Source organism: Homo sapiens, chromosome 5 (genome assembly GCF_000001405.40).
Source record: "Homo sapiens chromosome 5, GRCh38.p14 Primary Assembly".
NCBI classification, from domain to species: domain Eukaryota; kingdom Metazoa; phylum Chordata; class Mammalia; order Primates; family Hominidae; genus Homo; species Homo sapiens.
Genome location: NC_000005.10, coordinates 90,176,222 through 90,202,228, shown reverse-complemented (window position 1 = coordinate 90,202,228; position 26,007 = coordinate 90,176,222). Strand labels below are relative to the sequence as shown.

Below are 26,007 nucleotides of genomic sequence, written 5' to 3'. Positions count from 1 at the left end.
ATTAGGCTTGTAGCCAAAATATGACTCAATAGGGTGAATACAGTAGCTGAAGTAATATAATAGCTTCACCCTTGGAAATCGTTTGGAGTAAAATGGTAACCACAAGGGCAAAGGGACATGTCTTAACAACAGTGCCTTTCATTGGTGCAGACGGTCAACTAAAGGACAACACACAGTGTTACAGGCTAGATGTGTAATTCTAATGGCTCAACTATTTGGCAGGAAGCATCATATACATAAAAATCATGAGACTAAAATAAAAAATATTCGTGGTACCCCAAATCTTGTCTCTAGATAGAAAAAGAAGACTATAGATTGACTGCAGACAGAGAGAGAGAGAGACAGAGAGAGAGAGAGAGATTGTAAGGTGATTTGGATTTCTGTAAGGTTATGCTAAATTATCTATTTTCCCCACAGTTTGTTTCCTTGAGTTCTGTTGCTCATTACTTCCCTTTCCCCACCTTTTCTAAAGAATACCTGAGTTTTTTAAATTCTTGAATTAGTGATTTGTATTTTTCATAATTGGGGAAAAGCTGCCCATTCATTTCCACCCCTCCCCTCTGTCCATGTATGTTAGAAACTACAATAAATAAGAGGACCTCATTTTCAGTAACACAAAATTTACTTACAGAATATAAGCACTTTTTATTTGAAGGTCTTATGTCCCAATGTTCATTTGTGTAATTCCCTAGTGATATAAGAACATAAATATAGGAGCATTTATTAAAGAGACGATGAGTCAGTGAATCTAGTGTGAAGAATGAGGTATAGATGAGCAGTTTAGAGTCTGGGTGATCTGTTTGATTTCTTCTGATGAATCAAGAGAAGTGGGAAGTGTGAATCTTAACATTAAGGACAGGATCCGAATCCAAGAACAGGGTGGTGGGGTGGTGGTTGACGTTTGAGGGGGAGCAACTGTTCATTATCAGAACATCTATCCAGGAAAGTAAAATCCAAAAAAAAGGTGGGGAAAAGGGAAATGTTTGAGAAGTCAGGAGTTCCAAGAGTATAGGATAATGGAGAGGATGAACAGGAGGGTTGGAGAATCATGAAGAGAAGTGGGCCTGTGGCTGGGACTGTGTGCGAGGTTAATATAATGGGCTGTAAACCGGGAGGACACCTTTTAGTCCAGTTCTTGTCATGTCCTGTGTACGTTGACCACATTTCCCTTTCCACTAACATTTAGCATTTTAATTTAGCTTTCACCTCTGTCAAAACTAAGTTACTAAACACCTTTATAATTTCATTCACTAATTTAAGTTGATTTTTGGTAGAAGAAGAACTCATTTTTCATTATAAATCACAAGACACGGTAGAAAGACAGAGGAAATCCTGAGTAAACAGAAATCTAGCAGGCAAACCCTAGGTCTATTTTTGCTTAAAGGAAGATTCATGTCATTTTTTATTACTTAGGGCAATATTTCTCAAAGTATGTCCAGTGGAACACTTGTGTACAATAAAAATTACTCATTTAAAATATGTAGACTTTTTAAAATTTAGGACTTCTTAGAACTATTATTATGCTAACATAACATTGTCATATTCAGTATTAAAACAATTTATTTTTTGATAATTTTCCTATCTTGAAGTTTATCAGAGGTATTAGAATCATGTTAACTGAATGTGGGAACATGAGGATAGAAAAACAAATATTTTCCAATTGATTTTGGTACTTCCTTTTTCCCTATTATTATTTCCAGGGGGATGCATCAGGACGATAATTCCAAGAGTTCAATGGTGAATTTCCTTGGCTTCCACTGAGGTAATAGTCGTGTTAGGTCACTCTGCGAAGAGGGACAATCTACTCTGATCAGACATCTGCAGAGCTTTAAAGGCTGTTGCAGCCAGAAAGCTCTCAAGAATTCTGAATCCTGGGGCTCCCAAGGTTCCACCTCTTTGGACCAACTGATCTTTCATTTTAGTTTATTTGTTAGAGACACTGGAAATGACCTTACCTCAGACTTCCTTTTCCATTCTCCTTTAGTAGGATCTTTGGATTTTCATCCTGAGAGATTAAATTTTTTAAAAATTATTTATTTATCTTTTATCCCATTAATAGACCAACACTAAAGCAGTAATGAAAAAGGAATTACTTTCTCCCCAAATTCACACTGCTAATTGGCTGACAAATGGTCCTCTGCTGGAGCATTTCCTCCAGAAGGGCCATCCCACCATGTATTCCAAATACATTTTGCTCTGTGAACTAACACTGTTAACAAGAAGCCTTTTTTTTTTGGTCCTTGAGAACAACAACGTAACACCTAATGATTGAATACAATTGAACGCCTTTGTTTTTAAAATGTGATAAAATAAGTTCTATTTTATACCTGACTTGATGGAAATCTAAATATTATTTCTTAGTAAAATTTAATCTATAACTTATAAATATGCATTTATTGACATATCCAAAAAACTGTAGTCACATACTACTTTAAAAATTGTATTTATTAGTGGGGAAGAAAGATAAGCCTCTACTTTTCCTTATTCCTTAAAAGTAAAGAATACCTTTAAGACTCTAACAGCTTTAATTTTATTAGTAGCTAAAAGAAATCTCGAGGAGAAGTGGATACTTTAAAAAAAAAAAGGAGCATAACAAAGGTGCTCATCTCTCTGAAACCTGTATTTTAGAAATGCCTAATGTTAGACATTAAAGGTTTGCATGTGCATCATCATATTTTATTGAAGTTGGTAATAATTTACTTATTATCTGCAATGGGTTTCTGAAAAATATTTCTCTTTCCATTAAGGATTTCATTTTCAGCATTTGCTTGTCAGTTAAATCCTCACATCATTAATGTAACTTCTCATCACAGGGAGAATTGAATATTCATGCATTGCTCAAATCACTGTTATTCTGGCCTGTTACTTTTTATTCTTTGTGAAAGTGGAGATTGTTAACCCATCACTTTACAGCTAAGGTTGTTACATTTTCTGAGACTGCTTTGGTTTGTAAATGTAACATTTTGTCATATTTCTACAGCAGGTAGTAATTTCAGCTTTTTCTCTTGACCAGGTCCAGGTAGGTCATTTAGCTGTTTGTTCTTTGTTAGCCACTTTATTAACTCTTTGGTAGTGTTCCAGACCCTGGATTCATGCTATTTCAACCCTTCATTCGGAGCGTTGCCTGCTTTTTTGCATGGTGAATAAAACTCTTGAATGATGATCATGCTCTCACGTGCCTGACCTATACCCAAGGAATTAGTTTTCTTGTCTGTGAGACACTCGAGGAGCATTTTTAGATGGCCAAACAGACTAGATGATCTTTTTTTTAAGCCCCTTTTTGCTATACGATTCTAGGATTCTATTTGTCTGTTGTTTTATCTCACTTGCAGTGAATCATCATTAATAAGACTAGCCTTCAAACCTTTTTTTTTTTTTTGAGGTCAGAAGCTACATTTTCCTTAATCTGTATTATGGCAGGATCAAGTCCCTCCTGGGTCCTGCTCCATTTCTGGGTCCCTGCATATATACATCTGCCTTCAGAGGCCAGGTTCAAATTAAACTAGGGCAGCAGAAAGAGACCTTATAATGCTGCCACAAAGTAAAAGAAGAAACAATGACTCTTTTTGCATAATAACTCACAGGAGAACTGATGACCTTTGGCATTTTAAAAGTCTGGTTGCCATTTAGCTGCTTGCTTCTAAAACATGATCATTGAAATCAGCTTTCCTTCCTCTTTCAGAAGGAAAAACAAAACAAAACAAAACAAAACAAAAAAACCCTAATGGGCCATTAACAAAACTTTCTAAAAGTCAATGAAACATTGGCAACTAGTCTAAAGCAGAGTAGAAGGAGATAAAAGTAGAATGACAGTGGGAAGCAAATTGGATTCAGAGACTACGGGACCTATCAGGAAGGAGTGGGGAAGAGGTTCTGGGGAAATCAGAGGATGTAGTGGCTGTAAATCTGCTGTGCTTGTTTAGAAGGGAGTGTGGCTGGACAGAGCTGAATGTGGTATAGAACACCAAAAGTGGATACTATGTTGGATTACAGTGCATGACTTGAGCCTGAATATGCTCGGGAAATTTATGAAGGTTATTGCTTGGTTAATGGTAAGGAATTATTTTGTCAATGGATTGTACAATTTTGCTTTTCTATGAAGGTTTAATAGGAGAGTTACGTTGTTAATATGCAATTAGTATTCATCTAAGAGATGTTTGTTCTAAAAAAAAAAACCTAGTGTCAATGATGAATGTCAGGTTTCATAATGTAATCTTCTAGAAGGTAAGGAGAGAGTATATTCTATAGGATGTTTATGAGACTCAGTTAATCCAATTCTGCCTTTGCATTACTCCTTGATAGCACACACATCGTTTCAGGCCACACTTAGCCATTTCATGGTTGATTTACTATCAGAGAGTTACTTGAGGAAGCCACAGGGCAAGAGAGAACCTAATTAATATTAAACATCAACAATAATTTGGGCTTGTTTTCAGAAGTTGCCTGATAAAGGAACATGCTAGCTCTGGGTTATCAGTATAAATTAATGGTGGCTTCTTGTGCTCCTGGCCAGAATCATTATAAACTGTTTAACATACAAATTATTATGGAAAGTATTTTTCATACAGTAGAGCTCAACTCATTCATTTCACTAGTCTAAGGATCCAATAATTTTCAGACCAACCTCAACAATCTCTCTCTACTCTCACTAAAATTTATTAATAGCAGAGAGCTGTCACGAAATCACTTATTGCAAAGACTTAATTACTTCTACAAAAGACGCTAGGGTGCTATTGTTTGTCTTTATTATCAAATAATTTAATAAAAAATTAAAATGCAAGTCTATTTATCAGGAAGAGAAGTACACTTCTTTGTACTATGACATCTTAGCAGTCTGTCAGATCCATACGCGTAGAGAGTACTCACACCGGCTAATTTGCTTTGGATTTATTAAGGCTCCTCACCAGTATGATGCTAAAACTTTAGAACACTTAAGTACAAGAGGAATTCTACACGTTACTAGGAACATATAGCAAAAGTAGAAAGAATGGCAAATGTCTTTATGGTTAAAACAAGTATAAGATTTTTAATTGTGTCTAATTTTTATGTCCCCACCCTCCATAAAAATCTAATAAAATTCCTTACCAAATTTAGTTAATATAACAAAACAGACTGAAATAAAGTTTATAAATGGCAAAGTATAATAAATGTTTTATACAAATGAGGATTTAACTATCTGAGGAGAAAAAAAAGCAACAGGCCAGAACAACAGTGATTTGAATTAGGCATGAATATTCAATTCTGCCTATGATGAGAAGTTACATCAGTAATGTGAGATTTTTATTGACCAGCAAATGCTGAAAATAAAATCATTAATGGAAAGAGAAGTATTTTTCAGAAACCCATTACAGATAATAAGTAATTTATCACCAATTTCAATAACACATGATTTCTGTATGGCGGCTAATTCATTATATGCAACTTGAGATTTGGTTGAACAATAGTATTTCTATGTAATTCAATTCAGCAATTCACAATTTGAGTGCCTACTATGTGATCCTTTGAATTTCTGTGGTATCAGCTGTAATACCTCCTTTTTAATCTATGATTTTATTTATTTGAGTCTTTTTTATGTTAGTCTGGCTAAAGGTTTGTCAACTTTGTTTAACTTTTCAAAAAAATGACTTTTTGTTTCATTGATCTTTTGTATTGTTTTCTTCATTTCAATTTCATTGATTTCTTCTCCGATCTTTATTATTTCTTTTCTTCTACTAATTTTGTGTTTGTTTTTTTCTTGCTTTTCCAGTTCTTTAAGATGCATGATTAGATTATTTAGTTGAAGTTTTTCTTCTTTTTTGATGCAGGCATTTATAAGTATAAACTTTCCTCTTAGTACTGCTTTTGCTGTATCTCATAGGTTTTGGTATGTTGTGTTTACATTATCATTTGTTTCAAGAAATTTTTCAACTTCCTTTTTAATTTCTTCATGGACTCACTGGTCATTCAGAAGTATGTTGTTTAATTTCCATGTATTTATACAGTTTCCAAAATTCCTCTTGTTACTGATTTCCAGTTTAATTCCTGATGTTATTTCATTTTTTTGAATGCTGTAAGATTCATTTTGTGAGCTAACATGTGGTCTGTCCTTGAGAATTACTCATGTGCTGAGGAAAAGAATGTATATTCTGCAGTAATTGGATGAAATGTTCTGTAAATATCTATTAGGTCCATTTGGTCTACAGTGACAATTAAGTCCGATGTTTCTTTGTTGATTTTCTGTCTGGAAGATCTGTCCAATGCTGAAAGTGGGATGTTGAAGTCCCCAGCTATGATTATACTGGGGACTATCTTTCTCTTTAACTTTAATAATATTTGCTTTATATATCTGGGTGCTCCAGTGTTGGGCACATATATATTTAAATTGTTGTATCCTCTTGCTGAATTGACCCCTTTATCATTATATAGTGGCCTTCTTTGTCTCTTTGTTTTTCTCTTGAATCTATTTTGTCTGATATAAGTATAGCTACTCCTGCTCTTTTTTGGTTTCCATTGACTTGGAATATCTTTTTCCATTCCTTTATTTTCAGACTGCATGTTTCTTTATAGACAATGTGTGTTTCTTATAGGCAAATGATAATTGTGTCTTGTTTTTTAATGCATTCAACTACTCTGTGTCTTTTGAATGGAGAGTTTAGTCCATTTACATTCAATGTTATTGTTGATAAGTAAGGACTTACTCCTGCCATTCATCCTTTGTTTCCTGGTTGTTTTGTGGTCTTCTGTTCCCTCTTTCTTTCCTTCCTGTCTTCCTTTAGTGAAGGTGATTTTCACTGGTGATATGATTTAGTTTCTTGCTCTTTATTTGTTTATGTATCTATTGTATGTTTGTTTTTTGGTTTGAAACTACCATGAGGCTTGCAAATACTATCCTATTACCCATTATTTTAAGCTGACAACAATTTAACACTGTTATAAACAAACAAACAGGAGAACTCTACAACTTAACTTTGTCTCCCCGCTTTTTAGCTTTCTGTTGTTTCTGTTTATACCTTATTGTACTATGTCTTGAAAAATTGTGGTGGTTATTATTTTTTATTGGTTCATTGTTTAGTCTTCCAACTTAAGGTAAGAATGCTTTATACACCACAGTTAGAGTGTTATAATATTATATGTCTTACTGTGTACTTACTATTAGCAGTGCGTTTTCTACCTTCAGATGATTTCACACTGTTCATTAACAATGAGCACTCCCTTACTGAAGTACTTCCTTTAGCATTTATTGTAGCATAGGTCTGGTGTTCATGAAATCCTTCAGCTTTTGTTTGTCTGGAAAAGTTTTTATTTCTCCTTCATGTTTGAAGGGTATCTTTGCTGGGTATATTATTCTAGGGTAAAGGTTTTTTTCTTTCAGAACATTAAATAATGCCATGCCTCTCTCTCCTGGCCAGGTTTCCACTGAAAAGTCTGCTGCCAGACTTACTGAAGCTCCACTGTATTTGTTTTTTCTCTTTTGCTGCTTTTAGGATCCTTTCTTTACCCTTGAACTTTGGGAATTTGATTATTAAATGCCTTTAGGTAGTCTTTTTGGGTTAAATCTGCTTGGTGTCCTACAACTTTCTTGTATTTGGATATTGATATCTTTCTTCAGGTTTGGGAAGTTCTCTGTCATTTTCCCATTGAATAAACTCTCTACCCCTATCTCTTTCTCTACCTCCTCTTTAAGGCCAATAACTCTTAGATTTTGCCCTTTTTAGGCTATTTTCTAGATCCTGTAGGTGTGCTTCACTGTTTTTTGTTCTTTCTTCTCCTCTGATTGTGAATTTTCAAATAGTGATTGTGTATTTTTAAATAGCCTGTCTTCAAGCTCAGTAATTCCCTCTTCTGCTTAATCAATTCTGCTATTAAAACACTCTGAAATGTTCTTCAGTATGTCAATTGCATTTTTAAGTTACAGGATTTCTGCTTGATTCTTTTCAATTATGTCAATCTCTGTGTTAAATTCACCTGATAGAATTTTGAATTCATTTTGTGTTATCTTGAATTTCTTTGAGTTTCCTTAAGACAGTTATTTTGAATTCTCTATCTGAAAGGTAATATATCTCTGTTTCTCCAGGATTGGTCCCTGGTGCCTTATTGAGTTCATTTAGTGAGGTCATATTTTCTAAGATGGTCTTGATACTTGTAGATGTTCGTCTGTGTCTTGGCATTGAAGAATTAGATATTTATTGTAGTCTTTTCGGTCTGGACTTGTTTGTATTGGTCCCTCTTGGGAAGGCTTTCCAGATATTCAAAAGAACTTGGGTGTTGTCATCTAAGCTGTATCTGCTTTAGGGGACACCCCAAACCCAGTAACACTGTGACTCTTGCACACTCATAGAGGTATTGCCTTGATGATCTTGGACAAGATCTGGAAGAATTCTCTGGATTACCAGGAGGAGGCTTGGGTTCTCCTCCCTTATGTCCTTCTAAACAGAATCTCTGTCTCTCTGTTCTGAGCCACCTAGAGCTGGGGGTGGAGTGACATGAGCCCCTCTGTGGCCACCGCCTCTATGACTGCACTGGGTCAGACCTGAAGCTAGCACAGCACTGGGTCTCACCCAAGGCCTGCTGTCACCACTCCCTGGCTACTGCCTAAGTTTGCTGAAGGCCCTGGGTCTCTACAATCAGCAGGCAGCAAAGCCAGCCAGGTGTGTGTCATTCCCTTCAGGGAGGTGAGTTCCCACAGGCAATGATTGAGTTTAGAGGTGCTGTCTGGGATTCAAGGCCTAGAGTAAAAAAACCATAGAAATCAATCTAATGTTCTAAGAATGTACTGCGGATAGGCTGGCACCCAAACCACAAGATGCAGTCCTTTCCACTTTTCTCTCCCCTTTCCAAAGGCAAAGGCAAAGAGCCCCACCCCATGGCCACTGCCACTATAAGCCCATGGGGAATACTGCCAGACTACTGCCAATGTTCCCTTAAGGTTCACAGGCTCTTCATTCAGCTTGTGGTGAATGCTGCCTGCCTGGGACTCATGTTTTAGGGCAGTAGGCTCTCTTTTGGTCCAGGACAGGTCCAGAATTGCCATCCAAGAGCTAAGTCTTGGAATCCAGACCCCAAAAGTCTGCTTGGTGCTCTACTGCCTGGGGCTGACCAGGTACCTAAAGTGCAACACAAAGTCTCCTTTACTTTTCCCTCCACTTTTCTCAAGCAGAAGAATTCTTGACCTATAGCCACCACAGGTGGGAATGTGCTTAGTCTTACCTGAAGCCAGCAAGTCTCAGGCTCACTCAACGTTCAGACCCTGAACGTTGTACCTGGGAATTGCTGCTGGCTATTTAGGGCCCAGGGGCTTTCAGTTAGCAGGTGATGAATTCTGTCAGGTCTGGGCCCTTCCCTTTAAGGTGGCAGGTTTTTTTTCTGGGCCAGGGTGTGTCTAGAAATGTCCTCTAGGAACTAGGGCCTGGAAAGGGGGCCTCACGTCTCTGACCAGTGCCCTACTCTGCTGTGGCAGAGCCGGTATTCAAGATGCAAGACAAAGTTCTCCTTACTCTTCCCTCTCTTATCCTCAAGGAGTCTCTTTTGGAGCTGTGAGCTATGCAGCCCGAGCTTAGGGGAGGAGTGATATCAGCACTCCGTTAGCTGCCCTAAGCTGTTGTGTCAGTAGGTTGCATGCTCCCTCAGTCCACTGGCTCTGGGTGCATTTCAGCACTAGGTCTTGCCTAGGAGTTATAGTCCTTGTGGCCTATACTTCCCTTCCAATTTTTTTGAGGCCCAGAAGCACTTTCGCTTGTAGTGGCGAGGCTTGCAGGAACTCAAGTTCCAACCACTGGGGTTGGCAATTCCCCTCTGGCTAGGGCTGGTTTAAGTGCTCTCTCCATGGGCAGGCATCAGCTGAGATTGGTCCAGTTTTACTTTCTGCTATAACAAGGCAGCACTGAGTTCAGTGCCTCACAATTGCTGCACTCTCCCTCTCCCCAGCACACAGAATTGCTCTCTGCACCATGTTGCTGCTGCCAGGGCATGAGAAAAGGGTGGAAGGACTGTTTCTCCTACCTCTTTAGTGCCTCTTTCAGTGATATGAATTTAAAACCAGGTATGGTGAGTGCTTACCTGATTTTTGATTCTTATTGAAGGTGCTTTTTTTTTGTTTAGATAGTTGTTAAATTGGCGTCCTTGTGGGGAGACTGATTTGTAGAGCCTTCTATTCCACCATCTTGCTCTGCCCCTTCAAGGATTAGTCTTTTACAAGTCTATAAGGCACATCTTGTGTCATCTGGCGTCTCTCACTCCTAACTTATTCAAAGTAAATAAATATTAATTAATTGCTTCTGTGTGGGAATGATGTTAGGAGCAAGATATGTAAAAACAAGTGAGACATGGCCCTTGCCCTTCCTTATCTCAAAGACTACATCATGCCTTTTTATTTGTTGTCAGATGTGGAAAACAGGGCAAGACTCTCCTGAGTAAACTAACAACCTGCTTAAACTGTGTTAACATGGAGATGAACCCTGAAAAGTGCTCTGTTGCTGAGTCCTGCTGCAGGGGACTCACATTTGCTAGTGCAGAGGTTTCCTATGGTCAACACATTTATATAACTTGCATCTTTCAGAGCAGATGGTGCCACAGACTCTTAGAGTCAGTTTGTGCCAGTTAATGCATCCTGAGCATTTCAGCAGTTCAAGACATCAGCTACATGGTGAGGCCTTTGGAAATCTGATCTTTCTCAATGGCACTATCCACAGTGTAATAAAAGAGTGTTCTGAAGCCTGAGAGGAATTTATGGCAGCAGTAATTTGGTGCGGCAGGAACTTATGATGTTATCTCACATCAGAGAGTTACACTGCTAGTTTCCTGGTACCATTTTTCCCTTCTCCCATGTTGATTCTAAACATTGCTCTGTTTTTATTGTTATTTTGGTTGTAAAGGATTAGAAAATGTTATAGTAAAATGTTCTAGGAACTATTGAAGACTGAAAGCTCTTGGTATGATGCCTGGTCCTTTATAGTATTAAACAATCAGTGTACAGAAACAAAAAAAAAGGATGTCTGTGCAATTTTGTTAGATATGAAAAGACCCCTTAGGAGACAAATTGGAGAATCAATGCTGCCTCTCTTTTAATAATATGACAAAGAGCTAATTCAGCTTCTTTAACAGAAACTCAAATAAGCACAATCCTTTCAAAAAGCCTTTATATTCAATGCAAAGAAAACGTGTCTTCAAATCCTAAGAGTTCGGCTTCCACTGCTTTCAATGGGAGCTGTACGTTGAGAGCCAAGGGCTAATTTTGGTCGATGTATTTTCCCAATAAGTTCTCTTGGGTGATCATTTTAGCTTCAGCAAAGTGTTTCCTCTAGCTATTAGAGACAGTGTTTAAAAGTTTAAAGCAATGCGAATAGGCCGAAATCTAAATCAATATTCTGTAGAACAAATAAAGAGAAAAGAGATTTAGGCGGCAAGCTCATGGAATGTGCTCCAGTTCCCTGGTAGGCAGATCAAGGCGATTTCAGTAACAACTTAAAAATAAAAGAGCTAAAAAAACAGACGTTAACAAAACTATTCTCCCCCCTCAGTGAGAAATGACTGGTTTGGTTTTCAGATCAAGACATTGGGGTCATGAAGAGAAATACCATCGTGTAGTGTCAAATAAGAACTGAAGGGCATAAAGGATTCAGATCAATAGGCAGGAGCTTATTTATCTTTCTCAATGCCAATTATTTTAACAGAGTTTTTACTGACTTTGTTTAGCTTTCAGGTATATTACTTTTGTTCATGGAGTAGTTTATATGGAAACTACATAGTATGAATTCTGTGTTTTCTTCTCTTCTCTACCTCTCCTTCTTCCTTTCAACTCCCTTCTCAGAAGTCCTCTTACAAATAACCTTTGTGGGGAGGACAGCTTCCCTGCCCATCTCCAGGGTTCTGAGGATTGCAAGTTATCTTTTGCCCTTTGAGAACCCTGAGTGATTCTACCTTTAAACTGATGACTGAAAGGAAATATTACATTGAAAGGACATGCAAAAGCAAGTTCATCACAGGCTCAGGTTATCATGACCTTTTATTTCTCTGTAACAACAATTTGAGATGTCATGGTAGACAAATCGTAGGAAAGCATAAGACCTTCAATATTTAAAAAAAGAGGACTTGGCATAAGATGGTTTAATTGCTCAGATGCCAAATGCATTTTATTATGGGGAAAGTTTACCATTTAAGAATATCCCATGATAACTGCAGCAATAATAAAAATAAGTAGAATTTGTAGAGTGATTTATATTCCAGGGCATATCCAGAGCATATTTTTCCATGGTCTCATGGACATCTAAAGCACTTTATAAAAAAATTCCCAAGTTTTTTTTTTCCTATTTCTTTTTTTTTTCTTTCAGATAGAGTCTCGCTCTGGCACTCAGGCTGGAGTTCAGTGGTGCGATCTTGGCTCACTGCAACCTCTGCCTCCCGGGTTCAAGTGATTCTCCTGCCTCAGCCTCCTGAGTAGCTGGGATTACAGGCACCTGCCACCACGCCCGACTAATTTTTGTACTTTTTTTTTTTTTTTTTTTAGTAGGGATGGGGTTTCACCATTCAGGTGAGTCTGGTCTCGAGCTCCTGACCTCAGGTGATCCTGGTCTCGAGCTCCTGACCTCAGGTGATCCGCCCTCCTCGGCCTCCCAAAGTGCTGGGATTACAGGCCTGAGTCACCGGGAACACCCCAAGTTTTTTTTTTTTCAAGTTATGTTCCCTATAGGTAAGTACAAAAGTCCGAAGAAATAATCTTTTAAAAAAGTTGAAAAAGAAATATATAATGAAGAAAAACTAGCAAAGTCTGAGTTACAAAGTAATAAAATATGAGAATTTTTTTATGTTATATATATTTTGCCACAATAAAAATAATGAAAAAAAATGCAGTAAGTTGGCCTTAAGTTACAGAGGATATACCATGGTACTATCTCAGAAGATTAATCCTTCTTGAATAAGTAAGGATTACTGAGTCATTAAAAGGTGTTCCACATTCCAATTCCACTCCCCTTTCTATTATCTTCTCCTGTGGAAACTGTGAGAATTTCTTGAGTTTCTTGACACTATTTCAAGATATTAATACTTTGCTCAATGAGAAAATGCATGTGAAAGTGCTTAACACTGTGAGTTTTTTTAATGCTAGATGATATCTTGTATCAGTCTTGGAATGCAAATCTAGTAATTTTTAAAGCTTTTAACTTGTGTGTGTGTGTTTCCTCTCAGATTTGTGTATTGTGTTTGGAGTTATGGAGGCTATATAAAAGTATAAAATTTCATCCTTGTCCTAGAGAAGTTTGTTACTATGATAGGAATGAAGATCTATACACAAATGAAAACTTAAGTTACAAGATAGTGTATGTCTGGAGCAGTAAAATTTTAGTAAGGAAATCAGAGGAATTCTTCCTGTGGGTCTGGAATGAGGCCTATATAGAGGATGCTGGAAGAATATTTTGGTAGAAGAAGAGGAGAAAGCACTGTTACAGGGGTGGGGTAAGGGGGCAGAAGTAATAGTAACAGGGAAAGGAGGAGGTAGACACCACCAGTTGAGATGTGGAGGCAATATTAATGAATGTGAACTTGATAGATAGGACTTGATTAACCCAACTGATTAGCTTGACAGTGAGAGACAGGACTAGCTGGAGTTCCTAGGCCGACTAGAATTCTTAAGCCTAGCTGGGGAAGGTGACTGCACCCACCTTTGAACATGGGGCTCGTAACTCAGCTCACACTTGACCAATCAGGTGGTAAATAGGGCTCACTAAAATATCAGTTAGGCTAAAAGCAGGAGGTAAAGAAATAGTCAAATCATCTATCATCTGAGAGCACAGGGGGAGGGACAATGATTGGGATATAAACCCCAGGCATTCGAGCCAGGAGTGGGCAACCTCCTTTGGGTCCCCTCCCATTGTATGGGAGCTCTGTTTTCACTCTATTAAATCCTGCAACTGCATAATCTTCTGGTCCTTGTTTGTTTTGGCTCGAGCTGACCTTTCACTGGCCGTCCACCACTGCTGAACGCCGTCATCACAGACCCGCTTTCCACCCCTCTGGATCCAGCAGGGTGTCTGCTGCGTTTCTGATCCAGTGAGGCACCCATTGCCACTCCCGTTTGGGTTAGATGCTCACCATTGTTCCTGCGTGGCTAAGTGCCTGGGTTTGTCCTAATTGAGCTGAACACTAGTTGCTGGGTTCCACGGTTCTCTTCCTTGACCCACGGCTTCTAATAGAGCTATAACACTCACCGCATGGCCCAAGGTTCCATTCCTTGGAATCCGTGAGGCCAAGAACCCCAGGTCAGAGAACAAAAAGCTTGCTGCCATCTTGGGAACGGCCACCACCATCTTTGGAGCGGCCCGCCACCATCTTGGGTGCTCTAAGAACAAAGACCCTGACTAACAACAGGACAGAAAGGTTTGTGTTAAGGGGCTAATGAGAGCCATGGTTGAAAAGGAGATACTGGCACATTTCTAGAAAGAACACTAAACTATGGAGTTTGAAAATTCTTTGGCAAGATAAACAACTAAGGTTTCTGAAAAGAAACATGACTCTGAATAAACATTTTAGACAAATAAATTGGGCAGAAATATCCAGAATTGGGGGTACAACTATTATCAGAGAGAGCAATTAGGAGGTGGCTGCAGGAATCCAAGCAGGACGTGGTAAAGGCCTAGACTTTTCCCAGCATTGTACAAAACCCACATATTTCTGTGTCTTGGGAACACAAAATTTCCTGATGTTCCCTGAGAGTCCATCAGTCTGTTACTTTAAACCAAATGGATCACTTAGAAATGTATCATAGGTACTGTGGATGTATCTATGTTGTTAACTAAAGAAATGAAGCTGTTGCCCAGGGGCGGTGGCTCACACCTGTAATCCCAGCACTTTGGAAGGCTGAGGCGGGTGGATCCCCTGAGGTCAGAAGTTCAAGACCAGCCTCACCTGCATGGTGAAACCCTGTCTCTACTAAAAATCCAAAAAAAAAAAAAAAAAAAAATTAGCTGGGCATGGTGGTGCATGCCTGTAATCCCAGCTACTCAGGAGGCTGAGGCAGGAGAATCACTTGAACCAGGGAGGCAGAGGTTGCAGTGAGCTGAGATGGCACCATTGCGTTCCATCCTGGGCAACAAGAGCAAAACACCGTCTTAAGGAAAAAATACAATGTTATGTAGCCCAAGTTAACTAAAAGTAGAATTATGCAAACTCAGAATGGCAGATTCACAATGTATATAATCCTTTTATATTTTAAGAAAAAATTACTACCTTATCTAGGAGGGAAGAGATTTTTACTTCAAAGTTTTGGGAGTCTCCAGGCTTGCCTTGGTTTCATCCTTTTGCTTTCCCCCAGGCCTTGGCTCTTCAGAGATTAGTGTGGAGTTCCTATTGCCTACCTCCTAAATTCCTTCCCAGAGCTGCTTGTCCGTGAATGAAGACTTCACGTTGCGGTTCTTGAGAACATACAGGTGCAGCCAGTCAATGTCCTGGCTTACAACTTGGTTAACTAGCGACAAATTGCTTCTTGTTCAGTTCACGGGGCTGTTTTTCTGTTTGTTTGTTTGTTTGTTTTTACAAGGCATTATTACAGAATAGAGGAGTTAGACAGGATCTATGGCTTTTCTAAATATTGGCAAGGTCAAATTCTACTGAAGTTCAGGATTTGAAGCAATTTGTGTGTATTTTCATTTTGGTATGAGTCATATTCTCTACAGCTCTATTTTCTGTGGTACTTACTGTTCTTAAAAGTCTCTTTAAGTTAAGACGTTGTTTAGGAGTGTTAGAGCTGACTATGGCATTACATGCTGTATTCATTGTTTACTGACTAGACTTCATAACTGTGGTAAAAATAAACATGATACCTCTCAGCTTATTTCCATCCATCTAGTATTTTCATGAATGGCTTCCCGTAATTGTGTAACCCCCTTTAAAAAATGTATGAAGAAGAAAGAGAAGGAGGAGGAAGAAAAGGAGCAGGAGAAGGAGGAGGAAGAAGAGGAGGAAGAGGAGGAGGAAGGAAAGAGGAGGAGGAGGAGAAGAAGAAGAGGAGGAGGAGGAGAAGAGAAGGAGGAGGAGAAAAGGAGGAGGAGAAGGAGAAGAGGAGGGAGGAAGAGAAGGGGGAGGAGGAGGAGAGGGGGGAAGGGAGGAGAAGAAAGAAGAAAAAGAATCAGTCTCACTTATGAACTACATAACATAATTTTTAGAAGGCTGAATGGCAACTTCCAATTACTGAGAAGTGTAATAATTGCCTTAGTAGCACCCTAAACATAGTTATTTTTCTTTCACAACTACAGTTTTCTTTCCCATTCTTTAATTTGAAAACAGTCATTTTTATACTCATTTATATATCTAAAATGGGTAAAATTTTAGACGTCATAGGTAAAAAACATGCTTTAATTTTTCTAATTAAGATGGAGGAACTGGGCCAGGCGTGGTGGCTCACACCTGTAATCCCATCACTTTGGGAGGCCAAGGCTGGTGGATCAAGAGGTCAGGACCAATATGGTGAAAAACCCCGTCTCTACTGAAAATACGAAAATTAGCTGGGAGTGGTGGTGGCGCGCACCTGTAGTCCCAAGTACTATGGAGGCTGAGGCAGGAGAATCGCTTGAACCCAGGAGGCGGAGGTTGTAGCGAGCCAAGATCGTGCCACTGCACTCCAGCCTGGGCGACAGAGCCAGACACCGTCTCAAAAAAAAAAAAAAAAAAAAGATGGAGGAACTGATTTCTGGCCATGTTGGCTTCAACTTTACTTCATAAATTAACCAGTAGGTGTTGCTATGCTAGCACTAATGTTGATTCCACAAAAGTTAACTGGTCAGTTTGTGGTGAGTGGGTTCCCAAACAATTCTAATTTGTGTATTCCTCTTCGAAGACCGAAACCCTGCCACCAAATACTGAAGGCCTGATGGGATTATTTTGGGTGCAAAATAAGTTTTTAAATAAAGAGGACCTTCTATTCTCCTGTGTCAACTCACAATACTGGGAAATAATTTCAATGGCTTCCCAGTAGTTAAGATATTTTGGCCTTTGGAGAAGCAAGCAATGATCAATTTGTACAAGTAGGAAAAAAAGCCCCATTTTTATCTGCTTCACTCTTTTTTTCCTATCTGCACTTCATTCACAATACATATTATTATCACCCCAGTATCCCAAACCCACGTTAAAAAGAAGTGAAGGTCTCTCTGCCTGGCATAAGCTTCCAGGCATAGATAACCTTTGAAATGTTTTCGTTTGTCAGACAAACAAGTAAATTCACACAGGACTCACAGCTTAACTCTTCACAACATACCTCAGCATCTCAAGTGTGTTTACATTGAAAAGTGTTCTCATAATCCTTTGTGTAGGCAGAAACAAACGATTTCCTTGTTTAACCTCTATAACCCTTCCGCCTGTACTAATCATTCGGCAGAAACAGCAGACACTACTACTTCTGTTTTTGACTTCAATTTGCTAAGCAAAGCCCCAAAACTTAGAAGAGTGAAATATTTGTGATTTCTATGTTCAAAGATGAGGTTCTTAAAATTAAAAAAATCTGATAATTGAGTTTTAGGCAATAAGCCAAACACTTCAGTGTGTGCTTTGATGAAAAAAATAAATGCAGTTTGTATACATTCTACTGATTTTGCATCTCAAGTTTCCTCACTTGTACCAAGCATGTGAAACTGATAATCTAAAACTGTCAGAGTTGCTTTTTTTTTTTTTTTTTTAACTTGCTAAACACAGCAGAAACCTATACACTTCAGGATGAAAACTAGCACTTTGATCTAACAACACTGTTTAAAGAATGTTAGTGTGTATTTTGGTACAGAGCGAAAGGAATGACATTGGGTGAAGGAAAGAAGAAAGGATAAAGCTCTAGAAGGAGATGAGAAGGAAGGCGGGAGAAATGTGAAGAATGAATGAGAATGTGAACTTGTTATATTTTTTTTCACAGTTGCATCTATTCAGTAATGTGAAGCAATAACAGTTTATTGAGCCTTTAACAGCTAGGGCTGAATCCTATGAGCCAAAGAGAATGTGGATTTTTCTGTAAATTGTTCCTTGCACATTTAAACATAATCTTTAATAAAACAGTGAAGTACTTCTGTTGTAGAACTCTCTAAGCACTTTCTAAATGGCAAAACAATAAAGCATCTTGAAGAGTAGGGTTGAGAGCAAAGTAAAAAAACCTAAACATTTTCCAGTTATTTTATAATGAATTTTCATTGATTTTTATAATCATATGACTTGCAATGTGTGATCTTTTCCCCTTGCCCCTTTGCCTTCCTCCTTCTTTCCTTCATGCTTCCTTTTCTCTGTATTTCTCAGTGGTGTCATCTGCGGGCAGCTTCTGTGTATGTTAGATAGCTGACTGTGAGATTACAATAGGTGAAGGAAAAACATCTAAACAGTTTTTCTCCCTATAGAGTTTCATTATTGAAATGCTCTGAAGTCATGGGTGGTGAGTGCGAAAATGTAGAGATGTAGATTGGTTGGTAATCCACTCAATGTTTGTAGTAACCAGAGCTGTAGCATTCTAATCATTCCCTGTACCATCCCTTGGAAGCTGGGTTTAATTCAGCTAAATGGTCCATGGTATGGACTTCACTCCCCTTCAATTAGATTTCTCCCCTCTGGCGAATTCTTAATCAGAATTTCCTACTATTTAGTCACTAAATTAAACCTGTAAATTGTCAGTAACTTCATATAATGTAATGATATATCCATAAGCACTGAAATTACTTAGAGTATTGTGTATAACGAACATTCTAACGTAATAGTAACACAGTTAAGCTTTGGTATGGTGAAATAATCTTGTTAGATATAGCAATAAAGCACAAAGGATCGCTTATCTTTGCTTTTGAGAAAATATATAAAAGATAGATGCTTTTTTCAAGAAAGTGTGGATTTAAAAGGAGTTAGGTGTAAAACCCTCACTCAAATAATAAATAATTATATTTATGAACTGATTGCTTAATATGTACCAGATGTTTTGCTAAAGATTTTACATACCTTATTTCATTTAATATTCACAACAATTTAATGAGGGTAGGTACTGCTATTACTCACTTTTTAAATATCAGAAAACTGAGACTTAGAAAGATTAAGTAACTTGCCCAAGGTCACACAACTAACTAGTGCTGGAGCTGGGATTCAAATTCAGGTATGTTTGACTCCAGGATTTGGGCTCTCTACACAGTTATGGAAATATAATCAGCATATATTTATACACTGAGTTTTATTATTTTTACTTTATTTTGTATAAAGTGTTCATCTTGAAATGTGATCAAACCAAAGTGATAATTGAAAGTTCAGCATATTTATTGAGTTTCTCAGACAAGACTTCCTGCCCTGCAGGCATTTGTACTGGCAAGTCAAGCACTGCCACTAGAAATTGTGAAATAGTAAGTCAATAAAATATAAGACTATGAGAGATCAGAGTAGATAGGGGTAGTGAGGGAAGGCTTCCTGAAAGAGGTGAGCCTGAACCAGATCCTGCACAAATATAGAGGTGTGTGAGTTTTACTAAAATGGCTAGGTAGAAGAGCATGAAAATGTTGTCGAGGGTGAATAAATTGCTCTCAGGAAAAAGTGAAGCAAATACAGTAGCTCAGTATTTCTTAACCATGGTTGCCATTAGAATCATCCCAAATGCTTTTAAAAAGTACAGATGCCTAGGCCTCATCTTTGACCAATTATATAAAAATCTTTGGTAGAGGGACTTGGGTAATGGCATTTTTAAAAAGCTCTCCAGGGAATTCTAATGTGCAGCTGGTGCTGAGAATCACTGATAAAGCTGTATTGGTGCATTTGTATTGGGGTCAAGTAGGAAATAAAATTGAATGGGCAGTATGCAGCCACAAAAGACAGCAAGATTCTGATGTTAGACTTGATGGTATAGGCATGTGGGTATAACCGGAGATTTCTGAGCAAGAGAGGTCAATTCAATTCAGCTAACAAGAACTGAACATTTATGTGTAAGGTATCATAAAGGGACATGAAAGGATGAACAAAAATCTGGTCTCTGCCCTTTAAAGTTTCATAAATATAGTAGGAGGTATATGGATAGGTGTATTAAAGCACACCCATGTTAAAGACTATAATAGAAAATCAGAAATGCTCTGAGATTACTTACAGAGGCTCTATTTCTGGTTGTGAATAGCTGAGGATTCCAAAAAGGAGATAGCTATCATTTGAATTTTGACCAAAAGTAAAGTGATTTTTGAGAAAGACATGAGAAGATCATTCTTAGTACAGAAAGTGATTGATTTCGGAGACTCAGAATTTATGTGGGTGAGGGCAGGCTAGGGGACCTAGGAAAGGAGCCAGGTAAAAAGTGGAGAGAACACAGAGAAGGAAAACTTGAGGCCAGAGTGCTAAAATGGCCATCTGAAGGTCAAGGCGTGATCCCCCAAACACTCCATATGATGAATCCAATTATCATCCTGAAAAAGACTGTTTATGTTGCTCATGAAGAGGTAAAGTGTAGCTTAAGGTCAGATGTGGAGAAAATAGTAAGAGAGGGAAGCGCCTCCCATAGCAGGATTTGCCTAGTGATGAATGAGAAATGTAGCTGTTGCACCTAAAAGGATTATATTAAACTTGGCTTGCACTGTCATGACTGTGTTACTCTTTCTCCACCTGTCCAGCTGCTGATATCTTACCACTCTTTAAATTCCTTTTCTGCTAAGCTTTTCTTTGAGCCTTTTTAGGATGACTTAATTTGAACTTTCCTTTTCATCATGATAAACACTATTTAAAATGTCAGTTCCAACATTTATTAAGTTTTATTAGTGTGTGAGTATGTGTGGTTCTGCCTTAGATCGTTTCTTTCTTGAGGGAAGAACCATTTCACAGACAGTTAATACAATGCAGACACCGGTGTATGGAATGCTGAGTAGAATGGCTTGTCTGGACCATAGAATATAAAATATTTTTTAAAAAACTAAAACTATGATATTTTAAAATAATTTACTGAGCTTGTATGCACCAAATGGATTCAAATTTATCTCTTCCATAAGCCTGTGAGGTAGACAGTATTGTCTCTGTTTTTCAGATGAGAAATCCAAAGCTTAGAGAAGCTAAATAATTTGCTCTAGGTCATATAATTAGTTGCCTTTACAGTAATGGTTCTCAGGCTTTATGAAGCATCAGAATCATCTGGAAGGCCCGGCTTGATTCAACATTATGGGATGGGCCCAAGAATTTATTATTTGACAAGTTACCACTCAGGTAACTTAGATGCTGCTAGTCTGAGGACCACAGTTTGATAATGATTGCCTAGAGACTGGTTTGATTTGTTGCCCAGAAATCAGCTGGTGTTGGCAGCCACCATGCTGATCTTGATCACGGAGAGCCCTGAATACTAATTTGGCTAATTTATTGTAATTCCAGTTCAGAAGTGAGAGGAATGAATGATGGTTGTGCTTTATGACTCTGGGAGAAAAATGAATTTGGTGGACGTACTAGACCAGATGTATTGGAGTAGGGGAGATACTGAAAGTTGCATCTCTCCCTCTGTGGCAACTTGCACAGTCCAGCCCTTCAGACCTTCCTAAAACACTGCTCTCATCAAGGTGTTACTCAGGCATCTACAAAGGCTTCCAACCCACTGCTGGCCTCAGTGGCCTGGCCCCACCCTTCCTTTCGTCCGTGTTTTGCTGTGACACTGATGCTCTGATCAGGCCTGGCTTTTCACCAGACATAAGTCTGATATGGTGCTTTTGCTATGTTAGTTCTTCTTGATTCTTTTGATGTGTACTCTCACCCTCTCAGGGTTGCCAAATCCTATTCACCCTGCTAAGTTCTCTATTTTAAAAAGGCTTAAAATACAAAGTTAATATTCACATGTTAAAAAAAAAGTAATAGTACAGAAAAGCTGAAAAGAAAACCAAACTCTCCTGTGGTCCCTTCTCCGCAGGCCTACTGCTCAGAGGAAAGACTCTTTAACCCTTAAAAGCCATTCAACTATGCTGCTATTTTTTGATGGATCAATTTTAGAAATGATTTACTTACTGCCCTGAAGATAAGGATACAGGCCTCTTACACTCCCCATTTCTCCTATCATCTCTATGTAATAGTACTATATTTAATCAAATCCATTTTTATTATGACTACATGAATATTGCTCTTTCTAGATCTAAGTAAGGTACCATTCTCATTTTATTGTCTTCTACAGATTTTTTTTTTTACAGAAGTTTCAAATGTTTCTCTTCTTGCCATAGCTTCCTTCTAGTAACTTTCCACTTGTTATTCAAACCCTTTACCATATTAGGCATTTTCTTCTAAATTTTTATTTCTTCTAAAAAAAATGGGATACGTGTGCAGAACGTGCAGGTTTGTTACATAGGTATATGTGTGCCATGGTGGTTTGCTGCACCTATTGACCTGTCCCCTAAGTTCCTTCCCTTCACCCCCCACACCCCCCAAGAGGCCCTGGTGTGTGTTGTTTCCCTCTCTGTGTCCATGTATTCTCATTGTGCAACTCCCACTTATGCAGTGTTTGGTTTTCTGTTCCTTTATTAGTTTGCTGAAGATGATGGCTTCCAGCTTCACCCATGTCTCTGCAAAGGACATGATCTCATTCCTTTTTATGGCTGCATAGTATTCCGTGGTGTGTATGTACCACATTTTCTTTATCCAGTCTATCATTGATGGACATTTGGGTTGGTTCCATGTCTTTGCTATTGTAAATAGTGCTGCAATAAACATATGTGTGCATGTGTCTTTATAGTAGAAATATTTCTATTCCTTTGGGTATATACCCAGTAATGGGATTGCTAGGTCAAATGGTGTTTCTTGTTCTAGATCCTTGGGAATCACCATACTATCTTCCACAATGGTTGAACTAATTTACATTCCCACCAACGGTGTAAAAGTGTTCCTATTTCTCTACATCCTTGCCAGCATCTATTGTTTCTTGACTTTTTTTTTTATTATTATACTTTAAGTTTTAGGGTACATGTGCACATTGTGCAGGTTAGTTACATATGTATACTTGTGCCATGCTGGTGCGCTGCACCCACTAACTCGTCATCTAGCATTAGGTATATCTCCCAATGCTATCCCTCTCCCCTCCCCCCACCCCACCACAGTCCCCAGAGTGTGATATTCCCCTTCCTGTGTCCATGTGATCTCATTGTTCAATTCCCACCTATGAGTGAGAATATGCGGTGTTTGGTTTTTTGTTCTTGCCATAGTTTACTGAGAATGATGATTTCCAATTTCATCCATGTCCCTACAAAGGACATGAACTGATCACTTTTTATGCCTGCATAGTATTCCATGGTGTATATGTGCCACATTTTCTTAATCCAGTCTATCATTGTAGGCATTATCATTCAGGACATAGGCATGGGCAAGGACTTCATGTCCAAAACACCAAAAGCAATGGCAACAAAAGACAAAATTGACAAATGGGATCCAATTAAACTAAAGAGCTTCTGCACAGCAAAAGAAACTACCATCAGAGTGAACAGGCAACCTACAAAATGGAAGAAAATTTTCTTGACATTTTAATAATCGCCATCCTGACTGGCATGAGATGGTATCTCATTGTGGTTTGGATTTGCATTTCTCTGATGGTCAGTGATGCTGAGCTTTTTTCATGTGTTTTTTGGCCACATAAATGTCTTCTTTTAAGAAGTGTGTGTTCATATCCTTTGCCCACTTTTTGATGGGGTTGTTTTTTCTTATAAATTTAAGTTCCTTGTAAATTCTTAGACCTTTGTCAGATGGGTAGATTGCAAAAATCTTTTCCCATTTTGGAGGTTGCGTGTTCACTGTGGTGATAGTTTCTTTTGCTGTGCAGAAGCTCTTTAGTTTAATTAGATCTAATTTGTCAATTTTGGCTTTTGTTGCAATTGCTTTTGGCATTTTTGTTACAAAGTACTTGCCCATGCCTATGTCCTGAATGGTATTGCCTAGGTTTTCTCCTAGGGTTTTTATGGTTTTGGGTTTTACATTTAAGTCTTTAATCCATCTTGAATTAATTTTTGCCTAAGATGTAAAGAAGGGGTCCAGTTTCTGTTTTCTGCATATGGCTAGCCAGTTTTTGCAGCACCATTCACTGAATAGGAGATCCCATCCCCATTGCTTGTTTTTGTCAGGTTTGTTGAAGATCAGATGGTTGTAGATGTGTGGTGTTATTTCTGAGGTCTTTGTTCTGCTCCATTGGTCTATATGTCTGTTTTGGTACCAGTACCATGCTCTTTTGGTTACTATAGCCTTGTAGTATAGTTTGAAGTAAGGTAGCATGATGCCTCCAGCTTTGTTCTTTTTGCTTAGGGCTGTCTTGGTTATACAGGGTCTTCTTTGAATCTGTATGAAATTTAAAATAGTTTTTTCTAATTCTGTGAAGAATGTCAATGGTAGTTTGATGGGAATAGCATTGAATCTGTAAATTACCTTGGGCAGTATGGCCATTTTCATGATATTGATTCTTCCTATCCATGAGGATAAAATGTTTTTCCATTTGTTTGCATTGTCTCTTATTTCCTGAGCAGTGATTTGTAGTTCTCCTTGAAGAGATCCTTCACGTCCCTTGTTAGCTGTACTCCCAACTATTTCATTCTCTTTATAGTGATTGTGAATGGGAACTCATTCATGATTTGGCTCTCTCCTTGTCTATTGTTGGTAAAAAAGAATGCTTGTGATTTTTGCACATTGATTTTGTATCCTGAGACTTTGCTGAAGTTGCTTATCAGCTTAAGGAGTTTTGGGGCTGAGACGATGGGGTTTCTCCAAATAAAATCATATTGTCTGCAAATAGAGACAATTTGACTTCCTTTCTTCCTATTTGAATACCGTTTATTTCCTTCACTTGCCTGATTACCCTGGCCAGAACTTCCAATGCTATGTTGAATAGGAGTGATGAGAGAGGGCATCCTTGTCTTGTACTGGTTTTCCAAGGGAATGCTTCCAGCTTTTGCCCATTCAATATGATATTGGCTGTGGGTTTGTCATAAATAGCTCTTGTTATTTTAAGACATGCTCCATCAATACCTAGTTTATTGAGAGTTTTTTACATGAAGGGATGTTGAATTTAATCAAAGACATTTTAGCATCTATTGAGATAATCATGTGGTTTTTGTCTTTGGTTCTGTTTATGTGATGGATTATGTGTATTGATTTGTATATATTGAACCAGCCTTGCATCCCAGGGATGAAGCCAACTTGTTCGTGGTGGGTAAGTTTTTTTTTTTTTGGTGGGGAGGGGAGATGGAGTCTCATTTTGTCGCCTAGTCTGGAGTGCAGTGGCACGATCTCAGCTCACTGCAATCTCCGCCTCCTGGGTTCATGCCATTCTTCTGCCTCAGCCTCCCAAGTAGCTGGGATTACAGGTGCCCGCCACCATGCCCGGCTAATTTTTTGTATTTTTAGTAGAGACGGGGTTTCACCATGTTGGCCAGGCTGGTCTCGATCTCCTGACCTCATGATCCGCCCACCTCGGCCTCCCAAAGTGCTGGGATTACAGGCGTGAGCCACTGCATCCAGCCATGGTGGTGGATAAGTTTTTTGATGTGCTACTGGATTTGGTTTTGTTGAGGATTTTCTCATCAATGTTCATCAGGGATATTGGCCTGGAGTTTTCTTTTATGTTGTGTCTCTTCCTCGTTTTGGTATCAGGATGATGCTGGCCTCATAAAATGAGTTAGGAGGAGTCCTTCTTTTTCAATTGTTTGGAATAGTTCCAGAAGGAATGGTACCAGCTCCTCTTTGAACCTCTGATAGAATTTGGCTGTGAATCCTTCTAGTCCTGGACTTTTTTTGGTTGGTAGGCTATTAACTACTGACTCAATTTCAGAACTTGTTATGGGTCTATTCAGGGATTCAACTTCTTTCTGGTTTAGTCTTAGTAGGGTGTATATGTCTTGGAATTTATCAATTTCTTCTAGATTTTCTAGTTTATTTGCATAGAAATGTTTATAGTATTCTCTGAAGGTAGTTGGCATTTCTGTGGGGTCAGTGATAATATTCCCTTTATCATTTTCTATTGCGTCTATTTGATTCTTGTCTCTTTTCTTCATTAGTCTAGCTAGAGGTCTATTTTGCTAAATTTTTCAAAAAACCAGCTGCTGGATTCATTTTTGTTTTTGT

General features: G+C 38.4%; 1 long non-coding RNA gene across 1 annotated transcript in view; it reads left to right on the top strand.

Moving 5' to 3' along the window:
- The window catches only part of LINC01339 (long intergenic non-protein coding RNA 1339), a 131,733-nt gene that overhangs the window by 87,843 nt on the left and 17,883 nt on the right, over positions 1–26,007 (top strand). Inside the window, exon 4 of the long non-coding RNA NR_120601.1 lies at positions 1,701–1,762. This is a non-coding gene — a long non-coding RNA (long intergenic non-protein coding RNA 1339). The remainder of the gene's footprint in view (positions 1–1,700; positions 1,763–26,007) is intronic.